This window comes from Homo sapiens, chromosome 8, assembly GCF_000001405.40.
Source record: "Homo sapiens chromosome 8, GRCh38.p14 Primary Assembly".
NCBI lineage: Eukaryota > Metazoa > Chordata > Mammalia > Primates > Hominidae > Homo > Homo sapiens.
Genome location: NC_000008.11, coordinates 3366070 through 3378856, shown reverse-complemented (window position 1 = coordinate 3378856; position 12787 = coordinate 3366070). Strand labels below are relative to the sequence as shown.

Below are 12787 nucleotides of genomic sequence, written 5' to 3'. Positions count from 1 at the left end.
AGAAAGGGCATCCTTGTCTTTTGCCAGTTTTCAAAGGGAATGCTTCCAGCTTTTGCCCATTCAGCATGATATTGGCTGTGGGTTTGTCATAAATAGCTTATTATTTTGAGATATGTTCCATCACTACCTAGTTTATTGAGAGTTTTTAGCATGAAGGGGTGTTGAAGTTTATTGAAGGCCTTTTCTTCATCTCTTGAGATAATCATGTGGTTTTTGTCATTGGTTCTGTTTAAGTGATGGATTACGTTTATTGATTTGCATATATGGAACTAGCCTTGCATCCCAGGGATAAAGCTGACTTGATCATGGTGGATAGGCTTTTTGATGTGCTGCTGGAATTGGTTTGCCAGCATTTTATGGAGGATTTTCACATCGGTGTTCTTCAGGGATATTGGCCTGAAATTTTCTTTTTTTGCTGTGCCTTTGCCAGGTTTTGGTATCAGGATGATGCTGCCCTCATAAAATGAGTTAGGGAGGAGTCCCTCTTTTTTATTGTCTGGAATAGTTTCAGAAGGAATGGTACCAGCTCCTCTTTGTACTTCTGGGAGAATTCGACTGTGAATCCACCTGGTCCTGGGCTTCTTTTAGTTGGTAGGCTATTAATTACTGCTTCAATTTCAGAACTTGTTTTTGGTCTATTCAGGGATTCGACTTCTTCCTGGTTTAGCCAAGACTATTTTCTACTCTACCCAGCAGGTGACCTAGAAAATAAAACTTATTAATTGAATGTCTTCCTCTCTTCTTACCAACAATCAAACACATCCAATATTCAATACCCTTCTTCATCCTTACATGTTGCATTATTTAAATCATTTTCAACCTCCAAGACCAGGTCACACTCAGCCTTGATGAGCATTCCTCTGGAATTGCTCCAGGCCATGACGGCACTGACTTTTCTGACCTCAATTCTTTTAATATTCAGCTCCATAAAGTTAGATAGAAAGAGAGAGAGAGATAATATAACATGTGTTTACAACTTATATTGAATATATCTTAGACTAATACATTTTACATACTCAATACAGTCAGTTCAGTTTGATTTTAAGCTCCCAGGGGGTAGTAACTGAGGAAACATTCATGGAAAGTACAGCCCTTAACCTGGTGTTTCCGTTTTGGGTAGGATTTCCCAAAGTAGCCAGCATGTGAACAGGCATCCCAGGATATGAGCAGAATTACCAGGAGTTGATAGGTGCGGTACAGTAAGAATTCCTGGAGGTTTAGCAAAGTAGGTTTAATGGAAACTGAGTGAAGGATCAATAGGAAAATGATTTAGGAGAAACGGAGTGGGAATAGACCAAAAAGAGCCAATAGGTTTTGCAGTACAGGAATTGAGATGCTATAGGGATGCCAGTTATATGGGTGGCATTTTCCATAGAAAATAAAAGTACACTTAGCTTATTCATTTTGTTTCTTTATTGTCTGTCGATATAAATGTATGTAAATTTGAGATTTAAACCTTTCGAAGGAATCAATAGCATGACTGTAATTTGCAGCACTGGAACATGTTTCTCAGTATAAAGAATTTGTGGTAAAAATCTATTAATAAGCCAGGCATGGTGGCTCATGCCTGTAATCCTAGCACATTGGGAGGCTGAGGTAGATAGATTGCTGAGGCCCAGGAGTTCGAGGCCAGCCTGGGCAACACAGTAAAACCCCATTTCCACACAAAAAAACACAAAAATTAGCTGGGGGTATTGGCATGTGCCTATAGTCCCAGCGGTTCAGGACGCTGAGGCAGGGGGATCACTTGAGCCCAGGTGGTCAAGGCTGCAGAGAGCCAAGATCACACCACTACACTACAGCCTGGACAATAGAGCAAGACTCTGTCTCCACAAAGAAAGAGCTATTACTAAATCTACAAATTTTGGGTGATGTTAGAGTTTGATATGGGAGTTTCAGTCAGTCATGTTTGATAGTTTTCATCCAACCATAAGGCTTGTTCTCATTACCCTTCAAATCTTAAGCAATCTCTTAAACCCCATGGGTTTTTCGTGCAACAAAAGTTACATAAGTAGGATATTTAAACCTTTAAACATTCATAGCTTTCAGAAAAGAAAAAAAAATAATTATAATATTGTATATCAACATGAAACACGATAAACTCAGTGTCTGTGCTGGGTGCATAGCATCAGTTCAGTGTGTTTTTAACATTACTCTTTCACACATTCAAATGTTAAAGAAGTGAACATTGGGATAAATTGTCCTCTAATTTTGTGAAAGACAAACGCAAAGAAAACTTTGAAATTTTTTTTAATTAAAGAAAGATAGTTTTAACAACAAAAAAAGAATTTATTTGGAATCATGCAAGTAGTTCAACTGCACATTTTTCACGGAGAATGGGAGGTAACATGATAAATATGAATATTTTATATTTAACATTGTAAATTTTAATTATCTTTTTTATTATGAATAAGATATATGTTCTGTAGAAAAATTTATTAATAGAAAGCTTTAAAAACAAGTCTGTGTCACCATGAGATATAATCAATGCTTTCCTTCCCAATTCAAATATGTTTTCAGACAAATTTGTTGTTCTTGGCATTTGAAAAAGTATTATTGGTTACCCTTTTCATCCATACTTGCAGGCAATTAGTTTACTCTTTATTTCTTAATATTTCAATAGTAATTATGTTATTAAAATATTTTTATATTGTCAAAAAATTTTTTTTATTAAATAAGTATTTTTGAAAACTGTTTACTCTCTCCACAAGCATTTATTGAGAACCTGCTGTATTTGCAATCACACAGAAGTTTAAAATCTATCAGCATAGCAAAAGGAAAGACATTTTTAAAAATCACACAATGAAGTAAGTGCTTTATTAGACACAGAAAAGTGGATGAGGATAAAGAAGTTGGAGAAAAAAAGTTCCAATTTGGGATATCGAAAGCTTGGAGGCAATTTTGGAGATACATCTTTAAGATGGAGGTTGAGAGGGAGGGACATGTTTCAACGTGAAGAAATGGTTATAAACTGAGGTGCAAAGAGAAAAAAAGAGGTCTGGAGGATTGAGGGGTGTGAATCACTGAAGGTAGATGATGATCAAATGCCTCGAGTGCTGGTCTATGGCCATAGGCAGAGATTCATGCTGCAGTGTCCAGCGATCACACTGTGAGGACCCCAGGGTTTTTCTGAGGGTGAGATGGGGGCTGGTCATCAGGATTGGAATCTCTCCTATGCAGCTGGACTGCCCCAATTTACTCCCCTCCTTCCTACTGGGGGTTTCTGCACAAGATTCCTTTTGGTGGAAAGTTTCTATTATAAATAAATATGTGAACAACATATTTATTCATAAAAATATATATAATGTATTCATATAAATATATGAATAAAATCAGCGACTTCTGTAGGGCATGGAGAGTCTATGAATATTATTGAAGTGGAAAGTAACTCATTAAGTCTGACTTCAAATAGAACTGTATTTGTGGTTTCAGGAGAACAAGAAAATGATGGAAAAAAAGAGAAAAGATGGAAACAGATCAGGCCCAAGGCTGTGCTTTCACAGGTGGATCTCTTTGAGGAAGAGGCAGACTTGCAGAGGCTAGGCAATTGATAAGACAAAAATAACCTGAAACACACCAGTTGAAGAAAGCAATAGTGGGGAGTAGTTAGAAGTGTCACTAGGAGGATACAGGAGTTTAGGAGAGAGAGGTGACTCCAAGGTGACATCCCGAGAAACCTGGCAAGCAGTTGGAAGTTCAACACAGTTGGAGAACGAGGTCAGTGTTTAACATGTACATGTGGAAGCTGTCAGGTTTCAAGTTACAGTTGGGCACCGTGGAGGTGAATGCCACCGTCCAGGGAGCTAGCAGGTGTATCATCACCAGCTCCTCTTTTTCCCACTGCCGTCTCTAACACGGAGATCACTGTTGCCTGTGAAATTGTCTGCGTGCTTCAACTGCCGCCCTCCTCCCATCCATAAACTTGTTGAATTCAATTTCTGAGTTCCAGGCAACAATAACTGACTCTGCAAACTTCCATTTATTAGAAGACTTTGGCAGGGTCTGGGGAAGTGATGGGGTGGTGCGGGTGGTGGGAAGACAATAAATAACTAAAGAATCCCCAGAGGGCTGTGTGCTTTGCCATGAACATCAGTAGGAAGCCGTAGGATCCTGGAATGAGTTGGCAGAGAAACCTCAGCAGACAGCCTGTCTCGGGGCACCCTGCTACCATAGGGTTGCTTCTGATCTTCTGCATTTCCTCCGACCTTGTATCACTTACTCCATACTCACCATCCTGGGAGTGGACATTTGCCAGGATGTGCATTCATCACTTTGTTGATTCACCAGCATGTCCGTCATAGTCTAATCATCTAGACCTCCTTTGAGTTTAGAGAGCAACTTAATATTCTTGTTCTTAGAATAAATCAGACCTCGTTATCTGGAGTTTTAAAACCAAGTTATTTGCCTTCCCCATTAGAATGTAAACTTTGGAAAAACAGGGACTTTTCTGTCTTATTCATTGTTCTATGCCCAGAAGCATCAATGAGTGTTTGGAAAACATTAGTATGTTTCTTAATAAGTAACTCTAAATGCAGGATGGGATAGATGAATGGATAAAAGTAGAGGACAAAAGACAGAACTTGAAAAACGGGTGGATGGGTCGGACATGGTGGCTCACGCCTGTAATCTCAGCACATTGGGAGGCTGAGGCGGGGCAGGTAGATGACTTGAGGTCAGGAGTTCGAGACTAGCCGGGACAACAAGGTGAAACCCCGTCTCTACTAAAAATACAAAAAATTAGCTGGCTGTGGTGATACATGTGTGTAATCCCAGCTATTGAGGAGGCTGAGGGAGGAGAATTGCTTGAACCCGGGAGGCAGAGGTTGCAGTGAGCCAAGATCTCACCACTGCACTCCAGCCTGGGCAAAGAAGCAAGTCTCCATCTCAAAAAAAAAAAAAAAAAATAGTTGGATGCTTTACTTCAACTCAGCCAGGAAAATATCACAACGTATGTCTCCTCTTTTGTTCTTCAATGATTTCTGCATATCTTAGTCCTCCATCCAAAAGATTTCTAATGTAACATACCTGCATCCTTGGTGTTGGCTGGGTTACATAAATAGAAAAGTAAAATTCAAGAAATTATAGCATTAAGGACAGCAACAGTAAAATTTTACTGTGTCTTTTACAGCTACTCAGAAAAGGATCTACCGTGCATGAAGAAACAGATTAACATAATTCAAATTATGAGCAGCTATATTTGTAGCTCTGCTAAGGGAATGTAGACATGTCTACATATGAATACAGCCCTCACCTGTATAGACACTAAAATGTAATTCAGGTATTTCATTTCATTCTCTCATCTCCTCACTTCAATTTTAGGTGAGAATACCAATTCAATTCTCCATACATCAAATTTCCTTCTCCTGAAAAATATTATAGGATTTGTGGACAGAATTACTTTTATGTAAAGTCTTCATGATAACTGAATTGGACTACGTTGTGTTTGCACCCATATAAATCTAAACAAGCCTGAGAGCAGCTTTATCTCTAACTTTCTGTCTGACTTTCTCCTGATGGCAGCATGACGGGGCTGGTCAGTGATTTCCGGGTTCTGTGTGTGGTATGGAGGGAAAACATCAAAAAGAGGGCAGAGCACATTCCCTCCCAGATTTTTCCCCAATAAATGATCAAGTAACTTTTCCTGATGATATGAAGACAGAGGATAAAATAAAGATTGATTGTTTTTATACTGTTAAACATAGTTGGATATGAATTAATTTTATCAGTTTATATAACATGCAGATTTTGGGATAAAGACCACTGACAAGTAGCTTTGGATATAAGATATCTCAGTTTTACATAAAATGTTTTACATTCATTATGGTGATCGTCTTCATAAAAATTTGAGAAATTATTGCATCAATTCATACCAATCCAATCATAGACCAGTGAAAAGTTACGAATCCAAACCTTCTGAATTCGGGACTCCTCCGTCCTCTGCTGGTTTTCTTCCCACTACGCGGTGCGCTGGCATTAGTTCCCTCTATGGAAGCTTATTTCTACATTCACTGCCACTGGTGTTCTCACATAGTTGTGGTCTCCCTTCTATCCCTTGCTCAACCCTCTTCCATGGCCTCCAGACCTATGTAACCTGTTATAATGTCGGCCATTCTACAGGCAAGCCCAGCAGACTTGGAGCTTTGGTATCCAAAGCTGAACGCCTGCCTTACACTCATGACCTGGTTCTCCTGAGATCTCCTTCACCTGTAGTTATTTCACACTCAGGTTATGAACTCACAATCACCCCCAGCTCCTCCTTTTTATCGTAATGCCCATATCCCATTCAGGAGAAAGTCCCACCGGCTCTACCTTCAGGACACAGGCAGGTTCAGACCATGTCTTCCCATCTTGCTGCCAATGCCCTGGTTCGGGGTCCTGACCACCTTCCTCCCTTCACCACTGTGTATTCTCTCAGCACAGCCTCAGGAGCAGGGCTAAACCCCAGGTAGGTCATGAGATCGTGTCGTTTTCTAGGCAGGGCCATCCAGTGCCCCATCATGTCACTGAAAGAAACCTCCAACCCTTACAAGGACCCCCCAGTCACAGAGGTGTCCTTTCTGTTCCCTGTCCCTGCAGCTCCACTGTAGCTTGAGCCCTGGTCCTAACCACTTTCTCTCTACCCAAATTGTTCCCCAGGTATTCACTGTTTCCTTTGTCTCTCTCAAGTCCTTATTTATAGACCACTTCCTAAGTACGGCACCGCTGGCCACCCAGAAGCCTCACACTATCCCATCCCTTTTTCTTAATTTTCTTCACAGTCATGTGTCATCTGCCAATATTGTATATCATCTGCCTTTTATGTTGTTACAGGTTTTATCCTGTCTTTTCCAACTGGAATTCATACTTTAGAAGGGCAGATATTTTATCTCTCTTATTATTAATCATCCCTGATGCTGGGGGCAGAGCTTGCTCAATAGCAGGTGCCCAATAACGATTTGTTGAATACATTAATTTCAAGTGGGATGTATAATGTTACTTCTTTCACAGTGAAATGTGGAGTCACTGCAATCTTCAGATGCAAAAATTCCATGAGAAATTCTTAAAATATTCTAGAAATTATTTTAAAAATTTTCTCTTTTGCCGATTTTTATATCATGCTTCCCATGAGGTTTACGTATTAAAGGAGATGATTTGTTCCCTTAAGATGGATGGTTAGTGAGCACGATGAGGCTAGTCACATCTTTCATAGATTATCTAATTCTTTTGTGAATATTATTTGTGGAAGAGGCTTTTATAAAACATAATTCAGAATGATCATACTAATTGGAAGAAGTTATTCTGAGTATCATTTACTTCATGATAGTTCATCTTACCTAGTTTAAGAAAAGAAGTATAAATATATACATGCACAGAATGTGGGCATGTTAAAAAAAAAAAAAGCAAAGGAACCTTGTGAAATGCATAGTAAATTGTGACACTGAGTGATGTTTCACTTGTGAGACACTATTGTGAGCTCCTTACATGTATTCACTTATTTCATTCTTCAGCAAGCAGGAATGAGCTGTGATTTTTGCCCCATTTTACATGTGAGGCCATGGAAGCACAGAGCGGTAGAGAACTTTGCACGTGTTACTAACTAGTAAGTGGATGTATTAGTCAGTGTGCTCCAGAGAAACAGAACCAGGATTTATTGTGGGAATTGGCTCATGTGTTTGGGAGGCCAAAAGGTCCCAAGATCTGCCTTCTGCAAGCTAGACATCTGGAAAAGCCAGTGGCATAATTAAGTCTGAGACTGAAGACCTGGGAACCAGGGGAGCTGAAGATGTATGTTCTGGGTCTGATGGTTCAAGAACCAGGAGCTCTGAAGTCAGGGTCAAGAGAAGATGGATGTCCCAGCTCAAGAAAAGATAAAATTTTTCTTTACTCTGCCTTTTTTTTTTTGATGGAGTTTGACTCTTGTTGCCCCAGGCTGGAGTGCAATGGCGTGATCTCAGCTCACTGCAACCTCCGCATCCCGGGTTTAAGTGATTTTCCTTCCTCAGCCTTCTGAATAGCTGGAATTGTAGGCTTCTGCCACTATGCCTGGCTAATAATTTATATTTTTGATAAACATGGGGTTTTGCCATGCTGGCCAGGCTGGTCTGGAACTCCTGACCTCAGGTGATCCACCTGCCTCAGCCTCCCAAAGTGCTGGGATTACAGGTGTGAGCTACCGTGCCCAGCCTTTTCTCTGCCTTTTTATTCGGTTCCAGCCCTCAGCAGATTGAATGATGCCAGTTCACATTGGTGAAAGCAAATCTTCACTCAGTCCACTGACTCAAATTCTAATCTGTCCTAGCAGCACCCTCACAGACATGACCGGCCTCTTACCAGCTATCTGGGCAGCCCTTAGCCCAGTCACACTGGCACATAACCTTCACCATCACAGTGGAGGTGCTGCAGTGAGGGTGGGCAGCCTGGTCTCGAGATCTGAGCTGGTGACATCCATAGGCCTCACAACTGCAGGTGGAGAGGTTCCAGGAGAAGAGCAAGACCCGGAGCACATGGCTGTTTGTTTGCAGAGCATGAACGGCAGTTGCCTTTCCTGCCTCTACCCTCCGGCTCTGGTGACTCCATTTCCTTTTATTCTTTTTCAGTTCAGTGCTTCCATTCATAGGATAGCTTGAGAGGTCTTAAGATATGAAATAAAAGAAGAAAGTTGGCGGGAACGTGTCAATATTCTCCTCTTGATGTCTGTAAAATTAGGGCATATGGAGTCTATTCAAAAGGTTAAATTATTGATATCTTAAGAATTGAATTCCCGTTAGCAACTCTCAGTAGATAACGTTTTGATCAGTATCTATCAGTAGGTACCATTTTAATCATTTAGTAGCTACTACACACTGTAAATTGTGTTCTACAATGGCAATCATTGCAAACACCTATCCATGAGATGGATTTTATCATAATTTCTATTTTCAAGATGGGAGAAATGTAAAGGATTGAGAGACTTACCAGAGATCACAGAGCTAGTGAGAAGCTGAGCTGGCATTTGAACTCATAACTTTCTAACATCAGAGTTGAGCACTTAAGCTCCCATATTCTGCAGACATCCTAATTGTTGCCACTTTCCCATTGAAATGATTACATAAAACTTTCTCTTCTTTTTTTCCAAAATGAGTGTCTGAAGTGAGTGTTTGAACATGACATGGTTTGTTGAGGGGATTTGAACTCAATGAAGTGCTGCTAAGAAGACCAGCGGCTCTCAGGAGTGCAAACCTGTACCATGTCTGCAATTCTGAGGCTTGTTAATGCAGGTTCCAGCTCTCCTGCTGTGCCTTATTCTGTGTTACGTTGTCAAGGTTTTGTAGTGGTTAAGATCCCTTCATATGAACTAGCATATGATATTTGCAAGTAACATAAAGCTCAGGTTCTGCTTGGTTTTTCTTGGATATGACATTAAATTTGTTAATCCTTGTGCAAATTGCATGCCATTTAACCAGTATTTTGTTCTGGCAATCATTGTGAAACTTTAGTGCTGTAATCATCTCTCTTTATTATTTTAAGCTCTATGTGGAGGCTACATCCAAGGGAAGAGTGGAACAGTCCTTTCTCCTGGGTTTCCAGATTTTTATCCAAACTCTCTAAACTGCACGTGGACCATTGAAGTGTCTCATGGGAAAGGTAAGAATCTATCATAGGTCTCAAACATACAGACTAATAAATGAGACAGAAAAACGGGAACAAAACAAAAACATATTACGGTGTAAACAAGTGAGATAACTACTTTTCTCATGTATAGTTCAAGATTTTAACTTATTATTTAATAAGATTTTGGAAGAACAATAGTCTTTCAACTGTACAATAAAAACCATTCCCCGTTTTGCTCTCTGTTTATCAGATAACCTGAATATACGCATGTGAACATAAGCTTGAAATATAGCTATCGTGGTAAGGAATAAAGGCATCTATTCAATAAAATCTGACCATTGATTAAATAAAGGGAAATAAGCGATTGTCCAACTTCCAATTTCATGATATATCTGGGACAATTTTTGTACTTTCCTTGTATTTTATGTTTACCCAGTATCATCATACATAATGAATAATTTATCTTCACATAATCCAGAGATGGCTCATAGAATAGATATTTCTATCCTCATTTTATAGGTAAGCATAGTGAAGATCAGGATATTTTGCATTTTGTGCAGGAAATGTAGATTATAAACACTGGGATTAGGATTGTAGCCTGAAACTTTTTTCTGTGACTAAACGTGTCATCTTTAAGAGTCTATTTGGGGCCAGGTGAAGTGACTCACGCTTGTAATCCCAGCAGTTCGGGAGGCCAAGACAGGTGTATCACCTGAGGTCAGGAGTTCCAGACCAGACTAGCCAATATGGTGGAACCTTGTCTCTACTAAAAATACAAAATAATTAGCCAGGCATCGTGGTGCATGCCTGTAATCGCAGCTACTCTGGGGGCAGAGTCAGGGGAATGGCTTGAACCCAGGAGGCGGAAGTTGCAGTGAGCTGAGATTGCGCCACTGTACTCCAGCCTAGGAGATAGAGCGAGACTCTATCTCAAAAAATAAAATAAACAAGAGTCTATTTGGAATTTCGATCACATAAGTATTATGTAGACTTCGTCTTTTCACATAGATTTGAACCCGACTTAATATGAAATGGCTACATTTTATTATGTGTACTGTGTGGCACTATGCTGCCATGAATGACATGAAAGAAGAACTTGCCCTGAAGGAAATTAAGCATAAAGAAGACACAGATTATGAGTGATCAAAGTTTTATAATCATAAAAATACACATTTTTATTAGAAGTTATCTGTTCACAGTTAATTTTATTAATTTCACTATAGGAATCCAGAAATAAGCCTTTGTAGTTCCGGTTACTATGAGGTCATATGCTTTACGGGCATCTAAAACTACATTTTTAAGGAAGTTTTTCCTCGGTTATGCAGACCTCCAAATAAGATTTTTCTAAAGGACACCTGTTTAGAGTAAATTGAAAATTTGTCTGGTCCTTTGTCCCTCTGGGACAAATACTGTCCCTAAGAGTCTACTGACAATTTTTAAATGAAACCCATTGTAAACATTCTCACCTGTTTTTCTTAAATATACATATCTATGCCAATATGTACATCTATATCTGTATCTATATATAACTACATCTATAATCTCCATATTTCCTCAATATTGATGTCCACATCATATCTTCATATTTACATCATATCTGTACTTATATGCACTTAAGTATTTATTTTTGTTGTTTATCCCTTCTGCTTTTTTTCATTTCTAAAGCCGTCCTCTTTCCACCAATTTTCCTCTTAAACTTCAAAGCTAGATTTTCATATCAAGATAACATTTTAATATTTTGATTAAGGCTTGATGTGTCTAAGTCCAGAAAAAATTTTTCAGCAATTGTTACCTCTCCTAACCTCTCTCTTTTTCTCTCTCTCCTCTCCATCTCTCTCCATCTCTGTCTCATCTCTTTATCATCTCTGTCTCTCTGTGGCTATTACTCTCTGCAATCTGTCTTCCCCTCTTATTTTCTCTTCCTCTCCATCTCTGTCATCTCTATGTCTCTGTCTCTCTCTGCCCCGCTCCCTCTCTGCCCCCGCCGCCCCGTGTGTCTCTCTCTGTCTCTCTCTCTCTCCCCCGGCTTCATTTCTCAGGAGTTCAAATGATCTTTCACACCTTTCATCTTGAGAGTTCCCACGACTATTTACTGATCACAGAGGATGGAAGTTTTTCCGAGCCCGTTGCCAGGCTCACCGGGTCGGTGTTGCCTCATACGATCAAGGCAGGCCTGTTTGGAAACTTCACTGCCCAGCTTCGGTTTATATCAGACTTCTCAATTTCGTACGAGGGCTTCAATATCACATTTTCAGGTATGTTGGTCTTGTTTGCTGTTTCTCTCCTCTGGCAACAATACTGCCATTTCTGTTAGTGAGAATGTGTGTGGGTGTGTGTGTGTGTGTAATGTGTGCATCCGTGTGTGTTTGTACATGCGTGACTTGATTCCAACTAATGGGGTGCAGGAGGCTGAGCCTCCACGAAGCAGGGTGCAAGTACAGTTATGTGGCATCCAGAAAATGCCACTTTGTGTTACACAATTTGTGAATTCTCGTCTTTGAAAAATCTGTAGATGTCACTACATTCTGCAAAGCCCTTCTCACTCGATTCTCTTCACCAACTCTACAAGATCTCTGAGGAAAGTTCCTTTATTGGGAGGCATCCTCTGGGTCTGTTGTCACCTGATTGCATTGGTTTCTACCCTACGGTAGGTGCCAATATTTGCATTGACAACCACCTCTAGGATGAAAGAAGCAGGTGGACACACACAGTTGAGGATGAGCTTGTAGTTTAATATATTCATATGCAATGACAAAAAATACTCCAAGTTAGGTAACATCTTTATTTTTAATGATAATATATAGATAATATTTGCATAAGGTTTATGTTACAGCAGAAATTATTTGTATGGGTTAGATTGTTTAATTTGTATAGTTCTATGACAGAGATGCTAATTTTTTCTACAGATAAGAAAAAATTGCCGCCACTTAAAAACTGGCCAAACATGTGAGAGATAAACTTGGTCACATAAACAAATGATGCTCAGTGAACAGGTCACACTGAGAACCTCTGCAGTGTCTTCATTTCCAGCATGCCCCCACCCTCCACCAACAGAAAGGGCCCTGCTGCACTACAGCTGCCAAAGGATGGGAACAATCATATTAACTTGCATTTGTGCATATGATGCTTTGGACGAAGAGGGTTTTCCTTCCTTATTCCTCATAGCCCAGATCAAATGTAATTTTCATAAGGTGGTCCCTGGGTACCACAGTCACAT

At 39.9% G+C, this 12787-nt stretch overlaps 1 protein-coding gene across 4 annotated transcripts in view; it reads left to right on the top strand.

Moving 5' to 3' along the window:
* The window catches only part of CSMD1 (CUB and Sushi multiple domains 1), a 2059554-nt gene that overhangs the window by 1616058 nt on the left and 430709 nt on the right, over positions 1 to 12787 (top strand). For 3 of the 4 annotated variants that reach the window (XM_011534752.3, NM_033225.6, XM_017013731.2), the window contains exons 19-20: positions 9487 to 9603; positions 11610 to 11825. In XM_011534752.3, the coding sequence (XP_011533054.1) occupies positions 9487 to 9603; positions 11610 to 11825 (333 nt within the window). Of the gene's footprint in view, positions 1 to 6164; positions 6446 to 9486; positions 9604 to 11609; positions 11826 to 12787 lie in introns of those variants that run through there. The other variant, XM_011534753.4, reaches the window with a different exon arrangement.